Source organism: Homo sapiens, chromosome Y, assembly GCF_000001405.40.
Source record: "Homo sapiens chromosome Y, GRCh38.p14 Primary Assembly".
Lineage (NCBI taxonomy): Eukaryota > Metazoa > Chordata > Mammalia > Primates > Hominidae > Homo > Homo sapiens.
Genome location: NC_000024.10, coordinates 5088996 through 5116605, shown reverse-complemented (window position 1 = coordinate 5116605; position 27610 = coordinate 5088996). Strand labels below are relative to the sequence as shown.

The 27610-nt window shown below is 34.3% G+C and overlaps 1 protein-coding gene across 8 annotated transcripts in view; it reads right to left on the bottom strand.

Annotated features, from left to right (window-relative positions):
• The window catches only part of PCDH11Y (protocadherin 11 Y-linked), a 741933-nt gene that overhangs the window by 625623 nt on the left and 88700 nt on the right, over positions 1-27610 (bottom strand). For 5 of the 8 annotated variants that reach the window (XM_017030079.2, XM_017030081.2, XM_017030080.2 and 2 more), the window contains one exon: positions 15899-18391. In XM_017030079.2, coding sequence (XP_016885568.1) covers positions 15899-18391 — 2493 coding nt within the window. Of the gene's footprint in view, positions 1-11007; positions 12263-15898; positions 18392-27610 lie in introns of those variants that run through there. The other 3 variants (NM_001278619.2, NM_032971.3, NM_032972.3) reach the window with 1 other exon arrangement.

The window sequence follows — 27610 nt, the reverse complement described above, 5'->3', positions numbered from 1 at the left end:
GCCCTGATGGAAGCACTTCAAGAAAATGTAAAACACCACACAAACATAAAAGCAACATTTGTTCACTAGAAATATGGTAATGTACTGTTTTTGCTATGTTTTTCATGTTATTGAGTCCTTAGTCTTGTCTTCATATCTAGTCTTTCACTATATTAACCCTTTATAATGACCCTCTATTACCAAGGTATGTGCACTGAAGAAAATAGTCACCGACTTTAAGAATGTTAATAGCTGCTTTTATTTTATCTGGGATGATTGAAAATTCTCTATAGTTGTAACTGAGCAAAAGAAACATTATTTTCCTATTCATGATGGTTTTCATTTCCTTTACAAAAAGAGGTGACATAAGTCACGATTTTTTATAAAACATGTACCATGGAAATGTCTTATCCTAAAGCTGGTGTTAAGAATCTCCTGATATAAGATTGTCTAGGAAAGATATGAAAGAGAAACTAAACTAAACAAAACCCCAATTTCCCAGAATGTTTCCTACATATAATTTAGAAAGACTTTTTATGTCGTAGTAAGAACGAAAGTAAAAAGGGCTAACTTAACAATTCGGTGGTGGCCGGGCGCGGTGGCTCACGCCTGTAATCCCAGCACTTTGGGAGGCCGAGGCGGGCGGATCACGAGGTCAGGAGATCGAGACCATCCCGGCTAAGACGGTGAAACCCCGTCTCTACTAAAAATACAAAAAATTAGCTGGGCGTGGTGGCGGGCGCCTGTAGTCCCAGCTACTCAGGAGGCTGAGGCAGGAGAATGGCGTGAACCCGGGAGGCGGAGCTTGCAGTGAGCCGAGATCGCACCACTGCACTCCAGCCTGGGCGACAGAGCAAGACTCCATCTCAAAAAAAAAAAAAAAAAAAAAAGAACTCGGTGGTTTATTTTTATCCGTTCTATTTCCAGGAAGCAGGTAGCATATTTGCTTTCAATGTAAGTGCCAAGAAGTTCATTCCTTAAAATTTTATATATATATGGTCAGTTTTGAGTAGGGATATGTAGTTTCTGCATTTTCAGAGTAGCTCTGCCATGTTATAATTTGGACATACATATATGTACATTTGATATCCCATGGTTTCTCCATCTGTTCATGTTTTCCCAAAATTGATAACTTTGATTTTCAGCAGAGGGGCGGAGAGACACAATGATTTCTATTTGGCGTGAACATTTCATCTCAGTACTTCGGCGACAGGATTTATGTCTACACAAACACATCCAAACCATAGTCGTCAATATAGATTTGTGATTATTCACCACAGAAAATGTCCCTCTATTGAAGACAAGAATGTCTTTTTTTCTCGCCATATAGCATACTGGGAATATTTTTCTTTGAAGAAATCACACACTGAGATGCTTCTTGTGCTAAAATGCCTAAAAGCGCTTGCAGTGAGCCGAGATTGCGCCACTGCACTCCAGCCTGGGCGACAGAGCGAGACTCCATCTCAAAAAAAAAAAAAAAAAAAAAAAAAAAATGCGGTTCTCTCACCCCTTTGTATATGGACTATATGCAGATCAATAAATGCGTTAAATTTTTCCTTTGATACTTTTTGAGTGTAACTCATGGACAAAAGGTGTAACAACAATCAAAATATCCAAAATAGAGCTTTAAAAATGTTTCTAGAATTAATGAAGAAAAGCAATGTAACAATTTTCTGGGAATAGTTTCCAGAAACTGATGTTTACAGGTTATATGACCTAGTCATTTATTTGAAACATTTTAATTTTATAAGAATTATGTAAGGTTGATGCTAAGATTTGAAAAGATATGGAAGGAAATGATAGCATGCCGACTTGTTTCATTTTTAATAAAATCAGGTAGCATTTCTTCATTTTTGTCATATACTCTCTGGTATTAAAATTGTGTTCTTGGCCGGGCGCGGTGACTCACGCCTGTAATCCTAGCATTTTGGGAGAATGAGGCGGGCGGATCACTTCAGGTCAGGAGTTAGAGAGCAGGTTGGCCAACAGGGTGTAACCCCAGTCTCTACTAAAAATACAAAAATTAGCCTGAAATTGCTTGAACCCGGGAGGCGGATGTTGCCGTGAGCCAAGATCGTGCCACTGCACTCCAGCCTGGGCAACAGAGCGAGACTCCGTCTCAAAAAAAAAAAAAAAAAAAAAAATGTGTTCTTGTCCTATCTCCACAGTTGCACTTCAATATCGCCAACTGCAGTTTATTTTTGTTTTTGTCCTTGCAGCGGTGTCTTAACAAAAAAAAAGTCCTCAAAATAATTCTGGTAAATTGTGCAGATTTATGGAGGCATCAAAGTGCATGCCATGATCAGGGAGGAGGGGGTGGCAGAAGAAATGACAAAAATACGAGGTGCATGGCAAGGTACGAGATAGAATGAACAAGTAGAACTGGTTAAGATTGCAAAGTCCCTTGAAAAATATAAAAATTGAGGCTTTATTCTATGTGCAATGAGGAAAGAGAAGCTTTTCTGTCAGGCTTCACTGGATCAGACCTGTGTTTTAGGAGTATTATGGGTACAGGGTAGAAAATTGATTGAACAAATGAAAGTAGAAAGTAAGGCAACCTGTTAGTAGTGGAACAGGTAACTGGTGACTAAGACTGGAAAAAGGAAATGGCGACGGGACAAATGTCAGGGGTATTTTGGAGGTATTATCAACATAATATAGCTGTTGGCTTGGATGTGACTGAGGAGAGGAAAGTGTTGCTGATTTTAGGATGCTTCCTGAAATGGGGTAAGTACATGCATGCCCATACCCAATACATACTTGGGAGGTGGTTTACTAGTGATATTCTCTCTCTCTCTCTAACACACACACACACACACACACACACACCCCTCTAATTATTATAGTAAACACTGAAATTTTATATTTTGTCACTTTTATGTGCTTTTTTTCTTTTTCTTTTTTTTTTTAAACCCTGATATTATATACTCACAAATTTTCTGCACTGGAAAAAGGAAAGTTGTTTGTTTTTTGTTTTTTTATTAAACATACTTGCAGTTCAACTCCTTGGACAGGGGGCTTTTTACAGTAATAGCAACTAGGGGAGAACCTTGGTCATCCTACATTTCTAGCCCCCTATACCCCATCCCTCACCATAACCATTGACCTTCTCCACATTGCCTTACTCACAGTAGGAGTTTGAGAAATATTTAATTTATCTTGTCTGAACTCATGGTAAACTCCGTTATCGATAATGCTTTATCAAATACAGTGGTTCATAAATGATACCACATTACCAATATTCAAAAAATGTTAATACAATAAAACGCACGAAACTAAAACTTTAGTAAATATGACTACTTCATTGCTTTGGGTTAATCGAAAAAGATCAATTACACCACAATGGTGGTGAACAGAAATGACAATATAAAAATTCTGGTTAATCCAGCACAGATAATGAGCTATACCATGAAGAATGTAGGATGTCACTGTGCTAAAAATATTTTAGGATCCTTGATGATGTTAATGAAACTAGTAGCCCCTGCTGACAAGAAGCACTTCAAAAAATATCAGAAGATGTGTTATTGCAATGCAGAAACAACTTTATTCATAAGTATTTCACTTAATACAGATTACACACACTGTATGCACTGAAATTACATCAAATACAACCAGGTGTTAGTATCTACATGTATTCCAGTTGAAAGATGCTCTATAATTAGTCATTCTAACATATTCATACAAAAACCTGTTCATTGGTTTTTTAAAATTACAGCTCCAAAGTAGAAAGCCAAAACAATATTTTAAAAGTGACTGTTATGAATCCTCTTGTATTTTAAATCTTCTTAATTTTAATGTTATACTGCTTTTCTTCAATGCTGTTCTTAGTACTAACTCTACTCAAAATCAGAAATGATAATAAACTGTATACATTGCCCAATCTGAAAATTGGATGTATCCTCATAATCATATTCCTATGATTTATGCCAGTCCAAAGTCCTCACTGAGCTGTTTACAAAAATGTTTGTTTATATATACATAGGTAGGCATGTACGCATGTATATAATTATGGTAAATCCATACCATAGCCATTTGATGAAGACATAAATTAAACCCATAAAGTTGAAGACACATGAAACAGCAAATCTGACATTGTACAGAAGACTAACAGAGAACTACTTCTTTCTTTTTATTTTCATAATTATTAAAATTAAGTAATGTAACAATGCAAAATAAAGAGGATTGTTTTAATGGACTTTTACTTGGATATATTTTAGTTATAACAACTGGGCAGAAGTTGGCTATTATGGAAAGCAAATTTGTCTTTATTTGTGTGTGTGTGCAAGAGAAGCAGAATCTGTACTAGTACTTAGATAACAAAAATCAATTTAATTTTTTATATGTACTTTAACATTACTGGATCTGTGATCATTTGGGAAACAGACAAATAATTTTTTTAAAAGAAAAAAACATGAGGACACATACAGAATGTACTGGATATGACAAGGATTTTCTAAATGAAAGATTATATATGGGATGATATCAGGGATACTGGATGATTATAGTTTAGAAACGAGGCATAATGGTGTAAAAGGGGACAATAACATTGTAAATGTAGATGCAAAATCTTTTAACAAGCTTTCTTTAGTTTGAAGTTTATATTACTTTTTTCTGCTAGAAATTTGAGAAACATAAATATGCACACATATATGCAAACATATCTGTGCTCACACATACACTAACCCATTTTAATACCAATACATTAGAACTGCTTAAACATCAAATTAATATGACATTTCCTCTAGACACACAATTAGGTATATTAACTTCTAGACATCTATCTTTCAGTTCAGACACCTAAAAAGATTTAAGTGTACATTCCCTCTCATTTCTTTAATTTGTGTGCATTTTGAAATAAATAAGTGTATGTCTTTATACACAACTAAAATGTATAAATGTAAAATTGAATTGCAGCACTGTGTGGAATTCTGTTGTTAACTGTTATCAGTTATTCTAGATTCAGATAATGACAACTTTATATAGCATGTAAAACTCTTTTTTCTATCGAAAATGAAACTATTTACAATATCATTCTGTAGTACTAAATTCTGTGTCTTTATGTAGTCAAATAATTCTGTCAGGTCAGCAAAATATCCCTATATGTAGTAAAAAATTCTATTTTGCCTCCATATGTTTTGGTATCATGTAAACACAGTCATGATAACAATCTGGAAGATAACTCAGCAGTTTCTTTGGATAATTAAATTTGTGTAAAAAAACTAATTATTTGGCCAGGTGCGCTGGCTCACGCCTGTAATCCCAGCACTTTGGGAGGCTGAGGCAGGTGGATCACCTGAGGTCAGGAGTTTGAGAACAGCCTGGTCAAAATGGCGAAACCCCGTTTCTACTAAAAATACAAAAATTAGCCGGGTGTGGTGGCACATGACTATAGTCCCTCAGGAGGCTGAGACAGGAGAATCTCTTGAACCCAGGAGGCGGAGGTTGCAGTGAGCTGAGATCAGGCCACTGCACTCCAGCCTGGGAGACAGAGCAAGACTATGTCTTAAAAAGCAAAACAAAACAAAACAAAAAAGTAATTATTTAATCTGAGCATCATAAATGATGAGTATAATTTTCTGCAAAAAATACACTCAATTCATAGTTTTGAATAACAAGAGATGAAATAAATAAAAATAATAATAAAATATGGTCTCTCATTTCAGAGGTCACAAACTAGTGTTGAGAGTCCATGAAATTCCATTTTTGTGTATTTGTTCCATCCTTGAATATGAGACTATTTCTGTATTTACATGTCAAAAGAGCCAGTGCATTTAAAAAAATAATTTTAGTTACTTCAAGTTTGTGTCACTCAACAACTATTCAAGTTGCATGTTTGAATTACTGAAAATATTTTTGGATAATGTAACAGTTGTTTATGATCAGTTCTCTTTAGTTATAATATATCATTGAAATGGTGCTCTGCATTGATTTTGTAATTAAGGTTAGAACTGATATATAATAAGTAAATACATTTTAAAGTTTATTTTATAGATTTCTGTAAATAACATTTTTCTTTAGAGTTCAATATTTGTTTTACTTTTCACTACTACTGAATAGTCAAAGCCTATTACTTAAAGTTTTCTCTAATTGACTAATGAAAGTATTATTGTATCTAATGTTTCTTCCAAGTTTTAAGATAAAAAGAATGAAAATGTTTTTATTTATTTATTTTAAAAAATTTTTTTGAGATGGAATCTCACTCTGTCACCCAGGCTGGAGTGCAGTGGCGTGATCTAGGCTCACTGCAACCTCCCCCACAACCCCCGCCACTCAAGAGATTCTCCCATTTCAGCCTCACAAGTAGCTGAGACCACAGATATGCACCACCAAACCCGGCTAAGTTTTTGCATTTTTGATAGAGACAGGGTTTCAACCATGTTGCCCAGGCTGGGCTGAAACTCCTGAGCTCAAGTGATCCACCTGCTTTGGCCTCCCAAAGTGCTGGGATTACAGGCATGAGAGTTACTGCGCCTGGCCACTGAAAATTTTTTTAAAAGTCAACTGTATTCAAAAGACAGTAACATTTTATGAAGTAAATCAATATATAATTGGTACATATAAGGTTCTAGGATAAGGGATAAAGTACAAATATTTCTAGAAAATCTATTGGAATAGTTCATTTTCATGATTATGTCAATTTGACTACCTGAAATCTAATGAAATGTGATTTGTGATTTTTTTCACTTGACAAAAACGTTTTATTATTAATTGGATATATTTGTGTATGTATGGATAATTAAATGTAATTAACTATTTCAAAAGGAACATTTAAAACAATTTCAGTTGCAAATATCTAGAATATAGGAAAATTAAAAGAGTTCTGAAAATTCTGGGAAATAATTATGTAACTAGGTTGTTCTAAGGGAACTTTTGGAAAACATTAGATGGTATTTTTTTAAAGTATAAAAGCTTTTTCATCAAGACTTGATATTTTTACTCAGGGGAGTTTAGTCTCATGATGGAGATATGTAACATGCCTCTGTATTACACTATCAACTAATCAAGGTATGTTATTACATAAATTTGTCCAATCATACATCTATAAAAATAAACAATATGTTTAATAAATAAATCAGTCTTCAATACATGTAAAAAGTCCTGGATGTATAGTTTATAAAACAATAAGCATAATTCTATAATTTTAAAATGCACCACTTCAAAAAGTTATATAGCCTTCAAACAGAATTACTGTTATAAAGAACTCACTGCTATAGCTTGAAATAAAAACAAATAATTTTAAAATTCTTCATCTAAAAACTTTATACAATTTTCTAGATTTTTCTACAACAAATGTGTATCACACGTACAATAAAAATAGAAACCTATGGCTACTCTAGAATTTTAAAAGTCAACTCCTAATTCTAAATACATTAAACCAAAGATGTCATGTATGAACACGCACGATGTATGAAAAAATGCACTGTAGTTCTTTCTAAAAATACTAATTATATGCAAGAAATATAGCTTTGTATTATCACAGAATCTTTGAATATTCTAGGAAGCTAAGTCATATTTAAAATAAACACAAACTAAGCTTCATAAAAGCCAAGAAAATACATTTATTACACAAAAGCACCTACAAGAAGCATTTATGGAATGTGGCTTAGATTTATATAAGATTACTCAAGGTCTGCTTGTCCTGTAGTGCTTCTGTTACACTCAGGCTGCACATCACATCTAGCTAGATACACAATTACAACATGGAATTCAACAGTGAGGAGTGCAGGTGACAAAACAGCAAAATGATGCAGTTAGTATTTCATGGTGAAATGACAAGGTTAGTAAATATTGATTGAATATAAACTCAACTTCTAAAAATTATTCTAAAGTATATATATATTTTCTTTTCTTTTCTTTTCTTTTTTTTTTTTTTTTTTTTTGAGATGGAGTCTAGCTCTGTCGCCCAGGCTGGAGTGCAGTGGCGCCATCTCGGCTCACTGCAGGCTCCGCCTCCCGGGTTCGTGCCATTCTCCTGCCTCAGCCTCCCGAGTAGCTGGGACTACAGGCGCCCGCCACCACGCCCGGCTAATTTTTTGTATTTTTAGTAGAGACGAGGTTTCACTGTGTTAGCCAGGATGGTCTCGATCTCCTGACCTCGTGATCCTCCCGCCTTGGCCTCCCAAAGTACTGGGATTACAGGCATAAGCCACCACGCCCGGCCAAGTATATACATATTTTCATTCATAATGTGGACAGGGTGGTCAACAGAGAAAACAGACTTATACATGAAAGATGAATTAATGAATGAGATTAAAATTGTTTTATAATTTTTACATTTAAATCATTGAAAATAAAAAAGTGAGAAATATAATAGCTTAAATATCATATCATTAAAAATAAACTTTCATAATTAAAATAAAATGAGAATATATTTCAGTATTTTTTGTTTAATTTATGCACTATAGATTTTGATCAAATAATATTTCTTTGAGTGCTTGCAGGGGAGAAAGTATACAGTACACTGTAGCTCATCAGGTAAGCTACTTATAATTTAATGGACAAAGTTCACTAAAAGTTCCTTTTATTTATCTATGATGACTAGTTTTTTTTTGTTTTTTTTTTTTTTTTGAGACAGCCTCTGGCTCTGTCGCCCAGGCTGGAGTGCAGTGGCGCGATCTCGGCTCACTGCAAGCTCCGCCTCCCGGGTTCACGCCATTCTCCTGCCTCAGCCTCTCAAGTAGCTGGGACTACAGGCGCCCGCCACCACGCCCGGCTAATTTTTTGTATTTTTAGTAGAGACGGGGTTTCACTGTGTTAGCCAGGATGGTCTCGATCTCCTGACCTCGTGATCCACCCGCCTCGGCCTCCCAAAGTGCTGGGATTACAGGCGTGAGCCACCACACCCGGCCGATGACTAGTTTTAAGATTTGCTATCTTTTTGTCTTTTCCTTTTCATGACTAGAATAAGAACCAGAGAGACCATCAAGGACATTTCATTGAGAATATTCCCGTAGTCGATGAATGACAACACAAAAGGTTGGAGATATCTGAGAACTTGCAAGGCAAACGTAATAATAATATCAATTAAATTAAAGGTGCGACCAGGTCAACTGATAAGGAATCAACTAAGGAAATAAATATTTTTGTCCTCTGGCCTTTGTGGAAAACTAGTTTCAATGCCTTCCATGTTGTTCTCAAATAGAGATAATATTCTCTCAAACAAAAGCAAAGGATGGATCAAGAATAGTTACTAGTCAAAAGTAGAATTCATTTTCATCTATGGCCCAAATTTAAATACTGTTAAATCTCTATACTATCATTGGCTTATATGGGTAAATATTTTAGCCCAAAGCAGAAGTCAGTTTAGAAGTTCCTTTCTCAGAGACGCTGCATTCTAAGAGATGGAGTCATAGCTTTAAAATAAAGTTTCTATTTTAATCTTCTTCAAATACAGCACCCATAAAACCATTGAGGAATGCTTTTAAAGAAATTCTGGATAATTATTTCAAGGAATTTTCATCTTCATATATACAAAGGAGTGATTAGGACCTTTACTCATTGCAGTTATGAAGGAAAGGTTCACTGAAATGGAAGAAAAACAAGGTATTCTCCCTTAGTTCAGTGTGTGCAGAAAAGGAAAGGAAAGGCCAGGCTAGTCATGACACAAGCAATAAAAATGCAAATGCATTTTTATAATAATTACATACACAAATGATCATGAAGCCATGACAGCTTATTATGGGACACTTCAACTTCTGATTCACTTTTCTGGGCTTCGTCATTTTATTCAAAATTAAATTGAGACTGTAGATTTTGGAAACCTCCACTCTAGGTATATCTTACTACCTGCAGGGCACTGATTTTAGGAATATAATAAGTTGACTCAATTTTTACATTCCTTGGAATGATTTGAACTAAACTGAAATATTTATCAAGAATAAAAGGGGAGGAACTGTAAACTTGTTCTATGTGAATAACTTGTACAAGTGTGTATTTTAATTTCAAGCAACTTTTCTACAACAGTTGTTTAAGAGTATGTAATATAATATTGTAACTCACATGATATCTACCATAAGCAGTAAAAGTAGTTATACTCACAGTCATTATAATCAACTAAGTAATGTTTAAACAACCAGATAGCATGTACATTCATGGAACCTGACATATTGGAAATACAAGGGATTCTGTACCGAGTTAATGGGAACACTAAATTTTAACAGAAACTTGTTTAAAATATTACCTATATATTAAATATCCAAGAATTACACTAATTTGAAATACTGAACAGAGCATAAACCTTTTCTAAATACATTCACATCAAAGAACACTTCAAATAATACACTAACGTTAATGTACATACAAAACAGACCAAATCCTATTCACACTTTTAAAGGTAAAATGATACATAATTAACATTTGAATTAAAATTCAGGAAGCATATGCTATGTAATCATTATAAGGGTCCTTTGTACTCCCTTTTTATCCCAATAAATCATGATTTTAAAAAATTCTGTTAGTACTGTTAGTAAGTCATAAATAGTTTAAGAATATAGCATAAAATTGGAACATGTCATTCTTTCCTCAATAAAATATAATGTACACAAAATATGAGGCATTGTCTCATTCGTGTAGGAAATGAGTTAGTTGACTTACTGTGAAAAGTGAATTCATTTTAAAGGAAAAATTACTCAAAGCAATGATGTATATTTAGTAATTTAATGCTAGAGAAATAAAACAGACTTATTTAAATAAGTTACTCTAGCAACCTCACATTTTTCTTAGGTAGTTTCAAAGTTGAGATAAAATCTTTTTGAAATCTCCTATCTCAATCGTTGTTTCCACCCTCATATGACTGGAATTATGTTTCGTAATATAAGAAATATCAATATACTTTTTTTCAAAATATCAGGGAGTATAAAGAACTTTACATTCTCCTTTTGACAGATAAAAATAGAAAGGACCTCTTTCTTTGAAAATATTTATGGAAAAAGAAAACATTATTACAACAAAAATAACTTTTTTTCTTTCTTTCTTTCTTTCTTTTTTTTTTTTTTTTTTTGAGACGGAGTCTCGCTTTGTCGCCCACGCTGGAGTGCAACGGCACGATCTCGGCTCACTGCAACTTCCGCCTCCTGGGTTCAAGCAATTCTCCTGCCTCAGCCTCCCGAGTAGCTGGGATTACAGGCGCCCATTACCACGCCCGGCTAATTTTTGTATTTTTTAGAAGAGACGGGGTTTCGCCATGTTGGCCAGACTGGTCTTGAACTCCTGACCTCAGGTGATCCACCCGCCTCGGCCTCCCAAAGTGCTGGGATTACAGGTATGAGCCACCACACCCAGCCAAAAATAACTTTTTAATAATTAAAAGGAGTGGAACAGCATGAGTACAATCAACATAAAAACCTAGTAAAATTATTTTCTATCACTGAACATTTTTTTCTTTTTGAGACAGAGTCTTGCTCTGTCACCCAGGCTGGAGTGCAGTGGCGCCATCTCGGCTCACTGCAAGCTCCGCCTCCCGGGTTCACGCCATTCTCCTGCCTCAGCCTCCCGAGTAGCTGGGACTACAGGCGCCCGCCACCACGCCCAGCTAATTTTTTGTATTTTTAGTGGAGATGGGGTTTCACCATGTTAGCCAGGATGGTCTCAATATCCTGACCTCGTGATCCACCCGCCTCGGCCTCCCAAAGTGCTGGAATTACAGGCGTGAGCCACCGCGCCCGGCCCACTCAACTTTTAAGCAGAGTGGTGGGTAATAAAAATGATTTTCTCAGCAATATTATGTTAGTCAATATTTTCAAAACACTGAACCAGAGTGTTTTGGTTTTGTTTTTTGTTTGTTTGGGGTCTTAAAAATGTCTCTTGCCCTGGATACCTTTCAGAGAGTAGTTTGGCTAGTTCAGCTCACTTCCAAACTCCTGGAGATAATGTTTTAATTATTCAACAATCAGACAGGGCAAGTAATTGCATGTTTCATGACTGATATATTAACCATAAGTGTATACACCAAGACAGCCTTATATTACATCATGGCTGTTGATTCAGAGCAAACAGAGAAACAGCATGAGAGTACTCTGTTATTGCGCTGCACTGTCTCTTCCATAAATTTTAAATTTCCATTGCCAGATTACAGCTAAAGAAAGCACAAGGTTCACTAGGACATCATTTTTAAGATGATTTTTGCTTGCTTTTATAATGGGAAATCTAGATTACAAAATTAATGATCTTAGCCTAATTTTGAAATCACAATCATTGAAATTTTTTGGAAGGGGAATGGAATTTTGTTGTTCCTAGAAAGTTACATCTCACTGCAGATTTCAATAGTTCATGTCCTGGAATCAGTCTAGGACAAGAAAAATAACAGGTTATCAAAATCAGATGGTTGTGTTCTAGGAGTTTCATTTGCCAAGCATGCTTCATGGTTAAAATTTGCATTACCAAAATATAAATGCAGAATCAAAGTTACTGAATTTTACAATAGCGAATACCAATCCTATTCCAAGCTAACTCAGACTGCAATTATCATTTCAAATCCATGTATCATATCTACAGGATGGTTTCATGCATGAATTAGAACTGTCTAAAGTTTTCACCATTCATTCACCTCATTTCTGAAACTGAAAGACTATTCCAACTCAAATCACAGAAACTTGTAAGGTTTTTTGTTTGTTTGTTTGTTTTTTGGAAAATGATGTACCCCAAATACTTGTCTTAGACAGTGACTGGAAGACCTTCAAAAATTCTACTTTCATTTTTATTCTCCTCTCTATTTTTTTTAAAATGTATAGTCTTCACAATATTTAATGGGTGAATTGTATTAAGCAAGACTTGGTTTTGGCAGTTTATCTCTTTTATATGACATTGATCAAAAGTGATTTTAAAATAATTATTTATACTTATGGTTTCTCTAGTGTCATAACAACCAATTGCTATCTGCTTGCTTTGGAAGGTGTTAATAGAAGATAATGTGTAGCCTCATCCTCTCAAATTTCATGTTTTTAAAATTTCTACTACAATGTATACAAAAATGCCTTCCATAATACATGTAGAAACTTATGCCAAAGACGACCATTATATTCCCCAGGTATAGATGGCTTTATGCAATATACGTACTCCTATCTAATAAATGTTCCATATATTTTCAGAACATCCAAGTCAGAAAAACAACCTATAGAATGATCAAGGAGAATGAGAAATTATGAGAACTAGAAAGTATTTGATTCCCTTTATAAAACATAAAATTTCAGATGAATTCCCTTGTCTCTTATAGTCTACTAGAACATTTTATTTTCCACTTTCCTGTTTCTATACAGATGAGTAATGAACTAACTGTAAATATTCCCCAAACCCTCATTTTGAAAATGCATTTCTCACTGTTTAAAATAAATTGGAATAATTCTGCCTTCTGCTAACAGTAATATTTTATTCCACTCTAAGTATTTCCTTAAGGAACAATGAATTTGTATTGTATTGGCTGTCACTTCTCCCATTTTGTATGATATTTCTTTAAAAAGAAGACACCTACTGCATTTGAATTTTTAAATACATAATTTCTTTTTCAGTGCTCAGTTATTTTGCTAGCATTCTGCAACATCAGTGAACACCCTAACATTAAACACAAATTGAAGAGCATATAGAAAAGGTAAAGAACATTGCAAATGTAGCACAAAATGTAAAGATTCAAATTATTTTTAGTATCATATTAGTCTGCCTAAGTTCACCAATTCATGTCTTGAAGATATTTAGTAACGAATATGAAACAACTGTGAACCAATAATAAAATATATAATTTATTTACTTTTTAAGCTGTGAAATAATAAGTCATCTGCTAATTCAATGATTCTAAGATAGTCCTTTCAGTTAATAAAAACCTAATAACAACCAATAACTGATTCTCATTAGCATTTACTTTTTTGTATTTTGACTAATTCTTATGATTCAGAAAATGTCTCTTAGTTATATGATATAAAATGTGTCATGGAAAAAGTTTATTATTTTTAATGACTTTTTAGGATTACAAAATATTTTTAAAAAAACAAAAAAGTGAGGATATTTGAAAAATACTTCAGTTTTTTGTTCTTCATCCATGCCCTCCTTGCTATGTGTTCATAAACTCAAGTAAAATCAGTCTAGCTCATAAAATATCTCTGTGCCTTCAAAAAGCACTGAAACCAGAACTTGCTTTATTAATTAACTTCATTAACTCTGTTAAAAATGATGATCTACATACGTAATTCACAAACCCACTCTTTGTACATTTCTTAAAGAAAGTCACAAATTAAACCCAGGAAAAAATGTTATTATACCCAAATCATGTAGTGTTAGTCATAAAAGATACTTTTATGTTGAGAAACTTATCCAATAAGCAGAATAGCAATAAGAATTTGAAAATGAGAGTGCCCTTTTTAATGGTTAAATATAAACAAAAACACACCCTGTGGAGATGTTCGACATCTCTTAACATTTGTTGCCCATCCCAGATCCACTAACTATGTAAAATATGGGATTCATCTAAACTGTAGAAATAACAACTGCAGCGTAAATTCTTTTAAAGTCTAACAGAAGCTCTCTATACAGACACTAGGGTTCTAGTTTACCTTTTGAAACAGCATTTAATTGTGTACCTACTGTAACAAAAATGCACCCACATCTGAATTAGTACCTTACGTTCACTGTGTGATTCAGAGAGAAAAGTTAATGTTATCGTATTATATAACTGCGCTTATGCTTGAATGACCTCCATTCTTAAACCCATTTCCAAAGTTATGGTAAACTATTTGCATTGCTATCTTGAATCCAGTAGCCTTCTTTAATATCTCGAACTTTTGGTGAAAGAAAATCAGTTTTGATTTTCACATTGCTACTATTTTGTTAAGCCTGAATAGGTGTTCAAAAGACTTTATTCCCTGAAACTAAGATTAATACTTTTTTAAGAGTTAACACAAACAAAATAATAAACTCAACATGTAGCATGACTTCGAGAAAAATATGTGGGTAAATTCCATTGCTTGTATTTTTAAAGGGAACAATTATATTTAAATCATTCAACATTTAAGAGTTTCTGGATAAATTTGTATTCATTTCTTCATGGAACACTGATAAAAGGCACTGGATAAACTCTTGCTTTCATAAATGTATTGGGTTTTAAGTTATTGTGCACAGATTTCTTGGGTCTTAATATGCCCACAGTTTTCTTTGTGCCCATTAGAGAAAGCAAGCATTTTATTTTCCAAAAGTTATTATCTTTTAAGAATGTCTTCTGAAGGGCTCAAAATACCTTGCATAAATATGCAAATATTTAAATAGCTATCTAAAGTAGAGACCTCATATATATTTCATTCTCTGGCTTAAAGATGAGAATGAGTAGGCTTTCATTTTTCTAATCCCATTCTTGTTATATTGTGTTACTGTAGATTTGATGCACCAAAATAATTTTGAGTTCCTAATCTGAAAACGACACTTTTCTTTATGAGGACCTGAAGGCCTGGTAGAGTATGGGGGGAATATCTTGGTGCTGAATTTCTGTGAACAGCCACAGATTTTCCCAAGTGAAGCTAGGCTTCTCAATATCATTAGTATTTAGAGCTATTTATCAGATTCTGAAAAGCTTTAATGTGATGTATCTAGCCCAGACTATTCTGATCCTCATGCCCACAATGGTACTGAGGACAGTGCTACAACCCTTTGTGTTGAAGTTTTTTTCAATATATTTTCTAGCAAGAATTGTCATACTGCCATCTACAGACAAAATTGCCCCTACTATAATTATTATTCTGCATCCAATTTTCCTAAATCAGTAGTTATTTTGTTCTCATCTTCTACCAAACTTAATTGAATCCATATATCTATTGGGTACATCTGTAGAATATGATTGTTTTGATCCCTCTTTGAAGTCAATAGATTTTGTAAAGTTCTACATCAACTGAAAATAATAATAAAAAAATAGTTAGAAAGTTGTGTTAGAAACTTGGATACCTACCGGTCTGGTGTGTACGGACACAGGTACCTCGAAGGTTGTCACTGGATAGCCACAGTCAGAAACGCTGTAGGGATCTGAACTGCTTGAGGAACAATTGGAGATAGAGTCACAGGCCACAAAGGTGTTATCGAGAGGCAGTTCTTGGATGATGTGGTGCTTCAAATTCAGGGGAGTTTCAGGCTGAATTTGGAAGGCAGGCTGTGGAGAGGCAGATTTGTAGTGTCGGGCCAAATCAGGGCTGTCAGGCTTGAAAGTAGTAGGTGTAGTTACCCAATTGTACTTTCCCATTGTTTGCTCTTCTAGATCAATAGGAAGGTCTAGTGTGACTCTGTTTCCATCACTGTCAACATCATCTGCCTTAGTTTCTTCAATAGTGACAACATTAAGCAGCAGGTTCTTAGGGGAATGCTTCTTCTTCTTTTTCTTTTTCTTCATCATTATCATCTGCCTGTTTTCTGGGTTTGGGGTAGCCCATTCAGAATTCTGCATGTTTTTCTGAGCAGCCTTAAGGTGTGGTGCCTGGCGACATCTTACTACAGCAGTGATGAAAATAACTACAACGACAGTTATGGTGCCAGCAACAGCTGCAACCAGGATCTTGACATAGTCACTAGTTGGTGAGGATACATCAGCTATCTCAGTATTTGGGGTCACTGGTGCTTCAATGCTTTTGCGCACCAGTTCATTAATCAGTGTAGCATTGGTCACTGACTCATTCACGAACAGATTGACAATTACAACACTGAAGAGAGAATCAGGCTGTCCTAAGTCATTAGCTTTGACCAACACTCTGTGTAAACCAAGGTCTGTAACATCACATTTCTCCATCAATGTTATGTTGCCTGTTTCTTGGTCGATTGCAAACAGATCTCTTGTGTTTCCTCCTACAATGCTGTAACGAACCTCTGCATTCATGCCAGTGTCATTGTCAACAGCAATTACCTGAAAGACCACTGTGCCTGGATTAGTGGACGGTAGAACCAATTCATAAGAATAGTTGTAAGGAGGGACAATGAAAACTGGTTTGTTGTCATTGACATCAACCACATTTATGGTTACTTTGGCACTTGAAGAACGTGATACTCTACCACCATCCTCAGCCTTTACATAGAAAGTGTAAGATTCTTGTTTTTCTCTATCAAATGAAATATTTGGTCGGATGACACCAGTTTGTGAATCAATGGTGAAGTCATCATTCTCATCTAAAATGGAGAGCGTAACTGCAGAATTGTCTCCATAATCAGGATCAGTTACAGTGATTAGTCCTACTGTACCATGCCTTGGAAGGTTTTCTGGGACATAGAATTTGTATTCATTGTGAGTGAAAACTGGGCTATTGTCATTCTGATCAATAATGCTTACAAAGACTGTGACATTGCTGGTTAAGGGTGGTACCCCATTATCTTTTGCCAGAATTGTGAATAAATATTTATCCTCTTTTTCTCTATCTAGTTTCTTCACTACAGTCAGCATGCCTGTACGACGATCCAGGCTGAATTCAGGTGGAGCATCAGGGCCTAGCAGGTAATTGATCTCAGCATTAGGCCCACTGTCTGCATCCGTTGCACTTACTTTCATCAACTGGATGCCAGGAGAGTTATTCTCAGGAATAGAAACAGTTACGAAAGACTGGGTGAAAACTGGAGCATTGTCATTTTCATCTTTCACTTTGATGAAGAGCATTGCTGACTGATTCAAAGGAGGTTTGCCAGCATCTGCAGCCAGTAATTTAATGGCATATTCTTTTGTGGACTCATAGTCAAGATATGCTGCATTCTCCAGGAGGAACTGATTACTGAATACTGGCCTTAATCTGAAAGGAATTTCATGATCTGTGAAGCATGTCACCCTGCCATTATGGTCCGCATCCTTATCCGTCACAGTTATGAGAGCAATTTTGGTGTTGAGTGGAATATTTTCTGAAAGAACAACTGTGTCATTGACAGGATTGACGATGTATCTTATGTCAATGGATGGGACATTATCATTGACATCTGTAACATTTACCAGCACCATTGCTCTTGCTGGCATCAATCCACCATCACTTGCCAAAACCAGTAACTTGTGGTTTGGTGTTTCTTCCCTATCCAGTGGTTCTTTGATTGTGATAAGTCCAGTGGTGGCATTGAGGTGAAATAATCTCCTGGCAATGTTGGAGACTAGATTGCTGAAAGAGAAGTGGATCTTGGCATTTTCACCTATGTCAGCATCTGTGGCATGGAGCTGTGTCACTGAAGTGCCTACAGGAGCATTTTCTGGTATACTGACTTCAATCTCTGTCTCCTTAAAGACTGGGTGGTTGTCATTTGTATCAGTAACACTTACTTGCAAAATAGCAGTACTGGATCTTTGAGGAAAGCCACCATCTTCAACCTTTACTTTCATCACATAGGTATCCTTCTCTTCCCTATCTAACTCCTTTTGAACAATCAGTTGTGGCATCTTGTCTCCTTCTGGTGTTTCAATGACATCGAGGCCAAAAATGTTTTGACTCTGGAAAACATGCAATGAAACAGAATTAACTTATGTTAATATAAATTAATATATTAATATTAATGTGAATAATAAAATATAATTTAACTTATGTTAGCTTATCTAATGAGAACAATTTTCAGTTTCTTGAAGCCACATAAAATAATGGGATCAGTTCAGAAATAGGTGCCAGAAGACTTCAGTTCTAAGTCTCAACTCTGCCTATAACAAATATCGTGATTACAAGCAAGTTACTTTACTTTTCTTGATATTTGTAAAATTAGAGAACTGTACTAGAAGATGTTCTGGGGACAGGAGGCTTCAGATTGTAGCATTTTATGGTAATATATGTAACTTATTTATGTGAGCTATTTAAGTTTTTTTAAATTATGTGAACTATTTCAGTTTTTTTAATTAATTAATTTTTTATTTCATTTTTCCATAAGTTATTGGGGTTCAGGTGGTATTTGGTTACATGAGTAAATTCTTTAGTGGTGATTTGTGAGATTTTGGTGCACCCATCACTGGAGCAATATACACTCCACCATATTTGTAGTTTTTTATCCCTCACCACCTTCCTTCTCTTTCCCCAAAGTCCCCAATGTCCATCGTATCATTCTTATGCCTTTGCGTCCTCATAACTTAGCACCCATATATCAGTGAGAACACACAATGTTTGGTTTTCGAACTATTTAAGTTTTCAAAAGAAAAAAGTATATAGAATTTTAAAAAGAATTGTCACTAAATTTTTGCAAGATAAATGAAGCTGTAAGTGAATTATCCAAGATTATTCCAAATGAATTAAAATATTTTTTACTGTAGATTTCAGTTGCCTAAGATGCTTTTTCAGTACCAAAGTAAGCACCGAAATAAAAATATTCCTCCAAGACAACATCATAAGTATCATATCTAATAAATACAGCTAAAACCTTTAGCAGATGGAAAAAAAATACACAAACTGGTTAAAATATAAATTTGTATAAAATACAAAGAATTTCAATATTTCCCATAGGAACACACAGTTAAAATGAAATTATCTCAGAGATTAACAATGCAATGTTATTTTCTTACTTTTTTTTTTTTTTTTTTTTAACATGCAAGCACAAGGAACTAAAATTCACAGGTCAAGATCTCAAATTGAAAAAGGTAGCTTCGGATAGGACCTATTTTCAATTCATGCCCACAAAGTCACAGTATGGGAATATTTAAAAAACAATCCCCTCGGCCGGGAGCGGTGGTTCACGCCTGTAATTCCAGCACTTTGGGAGGCCGAGGCGGGCGGATCACGAGGTCAGGAGATCGAGACCATCCTGGCTAACACGGGGAAACCCCGTCTCTACTTAAAAAATACAAAAAAAAAAAAAAATAGCCTGGCGTGGTGGTGGGTGCCTGTGGTCCCAGCTGCTCAGGAGGCTGAGGCAGGAGAATGGCATGAACCCCAGAGGCGGAGCTTGCAGTGAGCCGAGATGGCGCCACTGCACTCCAGCCTGGGCGACAGAGTGAGACTCGTCTCAAAAAAAAAAAAAAAAAAAAAAAAAAAAAAAAAATCCCCTCCCTGTACTACAATAAGATGATCCCTACACACAAACGTAGTGATCTTGCCAGCTCACCGAGGAGAAATGAGAGAGGAGGATTCCTGTCCAGTGTTACTTGCAGCATTATGACAGAGATGAATGAGATAAAAAGGTACTGGAGGGTATGAAGAAAAGATCGGAGGAGGACTTTAAGATTCCTATTCATGGGTGATTTATGAACAGATACACACACACACACACACACACACACACACACACACACGTACATCTAAATAATTTTTAATTCTCTACTACATTTTTAACATACATGTTCTGGACAAGTGGCATGGATTGGTTATTGATCTCTCATTTATGTGCTGTATCATAAAAGAACAGGATAAGATCTGAGGTTATAGTTTTGTCATACCACTGTCTAAAACAAGATCCTAAAAATTAGAACCTAATAAATAATACCAGGTTTTCAGAGACTGCTAGAATATATGATCAGTTTATAAATGTATTTCAATCACATTATCTTTAAAAAATTTACCTGTCTTATAATTGCCTATATATAGTCTTAAACAATATCCAAATGCATCTCATTTTTTCCTCTTATGAATTACTTGAAGATATTTCTGCAAACTTTCAGATTTTGGGGGGGTGCTGAGATTCACTTATACTTTTATTCAAATGCAGTGCCATAATATATCTTTGTGGAGGAATTAGATGTTTATTACAAAATTTAAGATGGCATTTCAGAAATATTAATTAAAATCATTAGTTTGTTCCAACGTTATTTAAAAAAACATTTCACAAGAGCTAACCAAAGTATATTAGTTATTTTGTTTTTAATTCATACAATAAACGTGAGCATTCTATTCCTATTTTACTCAGATAGAGCAATAATCAACCTGGCTTTTCCTTGATTATATAGTAAGAAAAACATTTTCATGTTATACGTATTTATATTTGAAAATTAGCAAGCAAAATCTATTATTTGATATACTGCATATTTTAAGAAAAAATAGAATTTCATGACAACATTGAATGTAAGTAAATACCATAACATACTACTATAATTTGATCTAAACAAATTTAGTGATTAATGATAATTTAATTTTTGTAATGATATTCTAAGAGGTTTTTAGGAAGGTTCAAATCCAAAATGTCTATTTATGGGTAGAAAAAATAGTTTCTAAATTGTACTTCATAAAATCCATGGCACTTAATACTATTCTTTTAATCCTTGACATTCCAATACTGAGTGGCTAATATAGTGAGAGCATTCTCCTAGATGCCAAGGTTATGGTGGTGAGTAAACATATTTTACTAATGTGATAAAAGGTAAGTTCTAGTTAAGGTGAAAGAAAAATCAATAACTATGGATTTAATGATGGTATTGACACTAACGGATTTACATTAAGAGAATCACTACATTTTTAATAAGAGCTATAAGGGGAAATTGTAAGTTATTATTAGAGGTTGCATAAACAGAAACAAAGATAATATAATATAAAAAGAACAAGGAAAATGTTCCAAAGTTCTTAAGTTTCGGAGCCAACTATCCAATTTATGAATACAATACATCTGGGAAAACGAATATGTAAGTTTTAATTTTAAAATTTATGTATTTATGTTTGTGCATTTCTTGTTTATATATTTAGGTTTTACTTTTATGTGTTTGTCTGAATTTTGAGTTGGCCTTTGCTTTCCAAAGCAAATTAAGGCAAGCTTGTGTCAGATGAAAAATCCAAGATCAGCATACTCACTGTCTTTTAATTACTTTATGTGAAATGGCAATAATCTTAAAAATATATTTTTCTAACTCTCAAGGTGATAATGAAATGTACATATTAGTTAATGGATAATGTCACCATTGCTATTCTGTGTTTCACAACTACTCTGTTCAATATGATGGTAATTAGCCCCAAAGGAGCATTTAAATTTAGATTTAAATTAAATGAATTAGATTAATTTAAAACATCAGTTCCTACTTGCACTACCCATATTTTAAGTTCTCAACAGCTCCATGTGGCCAGTAGCTACTACGTTGGACACTGCAGATGTAGAACATTTTCATTATTGCACAAATTCTATTCAACTGTACTATCCTAAGACATCATGTTTTTCTTTAAAAAGAATCTATGATTAGCCAGGTGATTGCATGCATAACCCCCATTTTTCCAGATTTTTAGAGTTCTACAAAGACTTGCTGAGCAAACATATTTAAACTTAATATTGTCCACGGGATTTGAACAGGAGTTGCCCACAGGTTAAGACATAAATAATTTTCAACAAAATTTTGGTGAGATATCTAAGTTGACGTCAAAGTATAGTACCAACATGAGCTTACTATTATTACTGAATGATGATTCCAAGACTGTTTTCTGTTCAATCTCCTTCAGGAATAAAGAATAACTAACACATGAATCCAACATCAGTCCTACCCCAAATGTAGTTAGTTCAACTGAGCTCACATCCACATGAGCAATTAAAAAACTGAAGCCTTTTGCCATATGTTTGACCATGACAGCAGGACAGTGAGAAAAATGAAAAAGAAGATAAAACATATGGCTCCTTAATTCATCATCTCCCTATCTTCAGCATCGACACATCCTTATATACAAAAAAGTTAAAAGTTTGGAAGAATTGACCTGCACTACCCTGAATTCCAAATCCACTTAAAATTATTTATTTCTGTGTATAGGGGCAAACTCTCTATGTGTATATCTCTAGGTACGCCTTCATATACTAAGTAATATGGCATGAAGCTTTGTTTAAATGTATAATATCTAAAGATATAGCACCTGGCATATGTGAACACATTCAGAAAACATTTGTTAGATAAATAAATGCACGAATTAAAGTAGTGGCTCTTATTTTAAAAGATAAAAGAAGAGCAGAATTTGGTTGTTGTTAATTCTCAGTCTGTATAGGCACAGGAATACTCTATAATTGTTGACTTGGGTTTTTTTTTTTGTCTTTTATTTTAATAAAACTGTCCAGAAAACAATTTCAAAATTATTTCCTGAAACAACTACTTCTTTTCTGTTCAAAAATGTAATAAAAGCCAAAGTGTCAATTGCTAGTAAAATTTTACAACCTAGTTGTAAAACTTGATTTTCAGAATAAATTATGACAAATACTAAGTGTGGTATGTAGCCAGTGCATTATTGAAAAGATGCAAAACCCTACATCTGTCAAACACGGATACGTGTGATCAACAAAGAAAACAAAAATCAGGGAAGAAAATAATATATAAGAACTGCATGCAAGAATCATTTACACATGATATGTTGATTTTTGGATTCTGATATCTGAAATGGCATTGATCTCTAGTATACAAAAGTGCCAATTCAGGTTGAGGTCATGAAAAATGTATGGACTTTCTAATAACCTCATCCTAATAACCTTCATTTGTGAGTGATATTTCTTCCTAAATTCAAAAATAAGCTTTAGGATTGCAAACCCAAGACAAAAACTGCTAAAATAAACAAGATAAAGCCCTTCTGAGACTTTAATTCTTTGTGGAGATTTGTAAAATCAAAAAAGAGAAAGTTGATGTTGGATGTGAAATTTGCAAGAGAAGTTTTTTTTTCTTTTAAAAAATTGATAAAGGATATTCATTGCCAAATAGAGAGCCATATATTTTGTCTATTGTCCTGGGAAAGAATTAACAAGACAACTGGAGAAAACTTTAACATTTTTGACACATGCATGTGCAAGACACCACTTCATTGCCTATTGGAAGGCAATAAATAACACAGCACTTTTAGAGCTATAAATCTGGTACAGTTGCCCAGAAAATGCATACAGTGCCAGTAAGTACTAAAAATAGTTCCAAAGAGATCTAGTTCTAAAACTGATTAAAAGCCATTTACTCTTTAGATCGAGGAATGCTGGTGGAAAGACTCAAAATTTATTTCTGACTTTCACCACTGCTTGATTTATCAATAACTAACCTGATATTTAATTTTTTTTCACTTTTCTCTTAGTATTACTGATACATCTTTGGGCCACAGGAATGCAAGAACATAGATTCAAATGGATAACACTACAATAAAATGGCTGTTTTAGAAAACACTAAGGAAATACTTTAATACACATTGAATATTCTCAATACAGATATAATAAGTATTATCATAAATTCACTTTCATTCCACTAAAAATTCTTGGTTTGCTATAGGCTGTCTAAAACTATTAGGGGGAAAAGCAACTGTTGCTTATATATTCAATACTGTGGTGCCTTTTAGAGTCTATGCACTACTTCTAGAACATTTATTTCAGAATTCATTTGTAGCCTTGTCAAGGGAAATACAATAAAAAATGGATTACAATAAAATGTCCCAAGCCGTTAGTCACATATCTGCCGATAACCCTAATGTCAGCCAGTCCCTCGCTACTTTAAAGTCATACTAAGGAAAGGAGAGTGATGTGTAAGAAAACACCATCTCTCTTTGGGTGAGAAAACACCATCTCTCTTTGGGTGAGAAAACACCATCTCTCTTTGGGTAAGAAAACACCATCTCCCTTTGGGTAAGGAAACACCATCTCTCTTTAGGTAAGAAAACACCATCTCTCTTTGGGTAAGAAAACACCATCTCCCTTTGGGTAAGAAAACACTATGTCTCTTAGGAAGAAATAAGTTTACATTAAAATATTAATAATAGTATTGTTAATTTTGATAAAGCCACATACAAGGTTTAAGATATTATACATGGATTTTTTTTCCCACTAGGACTTAGCAAAACCTATTTTGTAGAACAGTACTATTCATAGCATGTGGTTCTTTTTTTTAAATGGTAGTCCAAAGAATAGGAATTTCTGTGATTGATTTTTTTTCCCTATTTTGTCAGATTTCAAAATTAAGAACAGATTCTTGAAAATGATAGAATTTTTGTACTAAGTTCTGTTTTAATGTGTACTTCCCCCAACTTTGTTTTTATAAGAAAATATATAATAAATACCATTTCATTTTTTCTGGCCTTGTGTTCACTATCACTACTCTGGTTTCTCCATCTGAGAGAACAATCAAATGATTTTATTACGTTAAAATTTGAAATATGCACTCAGATTGAAATGTCGTAAAGTGTTAATTTAAATTCACAATGTTTTAAGCTGGAACAAAGGAGATTTAATTGAAGACATCAGGGTTGTTATATCCACGAGAACAGTGAAGCACATCTATTTTTCGGGTCTCCATTTTTTTAGTCTATTCTTCCCTTGATTTTGAAAAGTCAGCTTTTGGCTTTCAGAGAGAAAGGAAAATCTTAAACATATGACTTAATGTGAAGTATAGAAATGAAACACAAGATATAATCTGATTAATTCTGTAAACATCCTAGGAGGAACCAATCATTTTTTACTAGCATGCATAATAATTCAGAATTCTCTTTTTTACTTGTTTCATTTGCTTGTGCTCACATGTGCACTTGCATTCTCTATCTCGCTCTTTGACTCTATCTCTGTCTCGCTTCAGATTCTAAAACCTGCAATGGCTAAGCATGCCTTATACTACAGCAAAACTCTTTAATATTATGCAAATGTTTAAAATACAAATTGGCCTTGACCCAGAGATTTCATTTATTTGAAAATATTTCCTTTTAAAGACTGTATTTCAAGCATGTAATTTTAATCACTAAATGCTTTTAATTGGGAAGATATGCAATACAAATGAAATGCCACTCCTAATTGTTGCTAATCAGCTCTTTTTAGCAGCTGCTCTCTTGTGCTTAAGTTAGATGAGCTGCATTCATAACAAAAATATAGGATATTCAACCACTGAATACTAGTACTAGAAAAGACTTCAGATATCATCTAGCCTTACTTCTCCTCTTATGAAAAGGACACTAAGACACAGTAAGGTTAGGTGACTTGCCCGTGATCACACAGCTGGTTTATTACAGAACCCGATTTGAAAGCCAAGTCTCTTAGTTTTTAGTTCAAGGATTTTTTCACTGAAATATGGTTACTTCTCAAAAGGAAGTCCTTTTGATGCTGGCAAGAACTCTGTATTCTGCAGAGCTCTCAGTATGAGAAACTTATCAGGTAATTACTGCCCAAAAAGAGCAAAAGCAAAACAAAAACTATTGTGTTTTCTGATCCCAGAATATTGAGCTACTGATAAAAAGATTTCTTCCCTGCTCCCTTCAAAACTACCACCCCTAAAAGTAATGTTTATTGAAAAAAGAAACCAAAGAAATACCATCTAAAATTTTAAGAGTATATAATTAAATACAATTTTAACTTGCCCATTTAAGAATATGAATAAATATTGAGTGCTATTATTTCTATGTATAAATTGAGTCAGGTTCTCAAAATAAAATTCACCGTTACTATTCTTCAATAGCTGGTATAAAGTATTTTACATTTCTTAGAAGATTTTCTTAAAAATTTCTTGTAAAAAGGTCCTTTAAGAACATTGTAAGAAAAGTCCAAAAGCTTTTTATGTTGCAGGTGTACTTTATCTGAACTATTGTTTTAAAGAAGCAGGGTAATGATCTAATGGTAAATTTTAATGAAAACTTGTGATTAGCTTAAACTTTAAAAAATCAGTAATCAAAAATGAAAATATGATCTTTCACTAATAGACACTGCTATAAACCTAACTGATTGCTTATTAATATCAGGAAAATAAAACTAAAGTTGCTTCTGGTTCATTGTATGTCAGCGAAAACCTCAGGTAAAGGAAGTCAGTAATAATACAACTTCAAGAAGGGAAAATAGTGCTAAACATTTAAGATCATATGAAGGTGTTTTATCTTTTAAGTCTCAGGACTTCTTGGGTGCTTCTAACTCTGATTGGTTCTACCTTCTAAATTGATAAAAGACCTCAACCAGTTTCTTTTGGATCTACTATCATCAAAGTCCAGAAATCTCCTTTTCTCCAAAAGAAGATTTCAGTTTCTCTATCACATAAGAAGGCCATTTCTTCTGTGTCTCATGGCCTCTGACTATTGATTAAATGGACGTCATAATAAAGATGGTGGCAAATTTTGGTGAGAGAAGTTTGGTAAATGACAAATTTGTCTGTGGATCACATTCTTTTGGAAATGGGTAAGCATTGTAAGAATAGTTCGTATCTTTTGCTCTTTAATGCAAATACTTTCAAATTGGCAGTAACGAGTCAGAGATGGCTCATTCTAATCAAGTCCCTGGTGAATAATTGGAAGTCATTAATGCTATAGTGGGTGAATGACAGAATCTTGTGGTAGATTTTTTGTTGTTGTTGTTATTTTTGGTCACTAAAACATTGGACACATATATGAATGAAAGTCCCAGATTTCTCAGTGACCTGGTTTTTGAGAAGTAGGATGTAGCCCAAGTAGAATCAAACCTCCACAGGCAGGGCTGGGAAGCTGAAGGATGGCATGGGAGAGGCAGCAAACTTGGGTCTTTTTTCCCTTGAACATTTCAAACAGATCAAAAATTTTTTCCCAGTGGAGGCAAAGGACTGGGAATCATAGACGTGTCTTTTTTTATAAATCTGGATTTTAACTAAAATGCATATTCTTCTTTGTTGGAGGTAAGACTAGTCAAGGAATGGGGAGTATGGGATAGTCGTGATATGTCTCCGGGATAAGTGATAATTGAAGTAAAAAGAGAAAAGTTTAGGGCAGAAAATACGAGGCCATGCACAGAGAGGCTAAAGAAAGCTTCAGGTAAGTCCATTTATAAGGTCTATCCAGTTGGCCTGACACCATGGGATATATCTGGAGATGTTAAA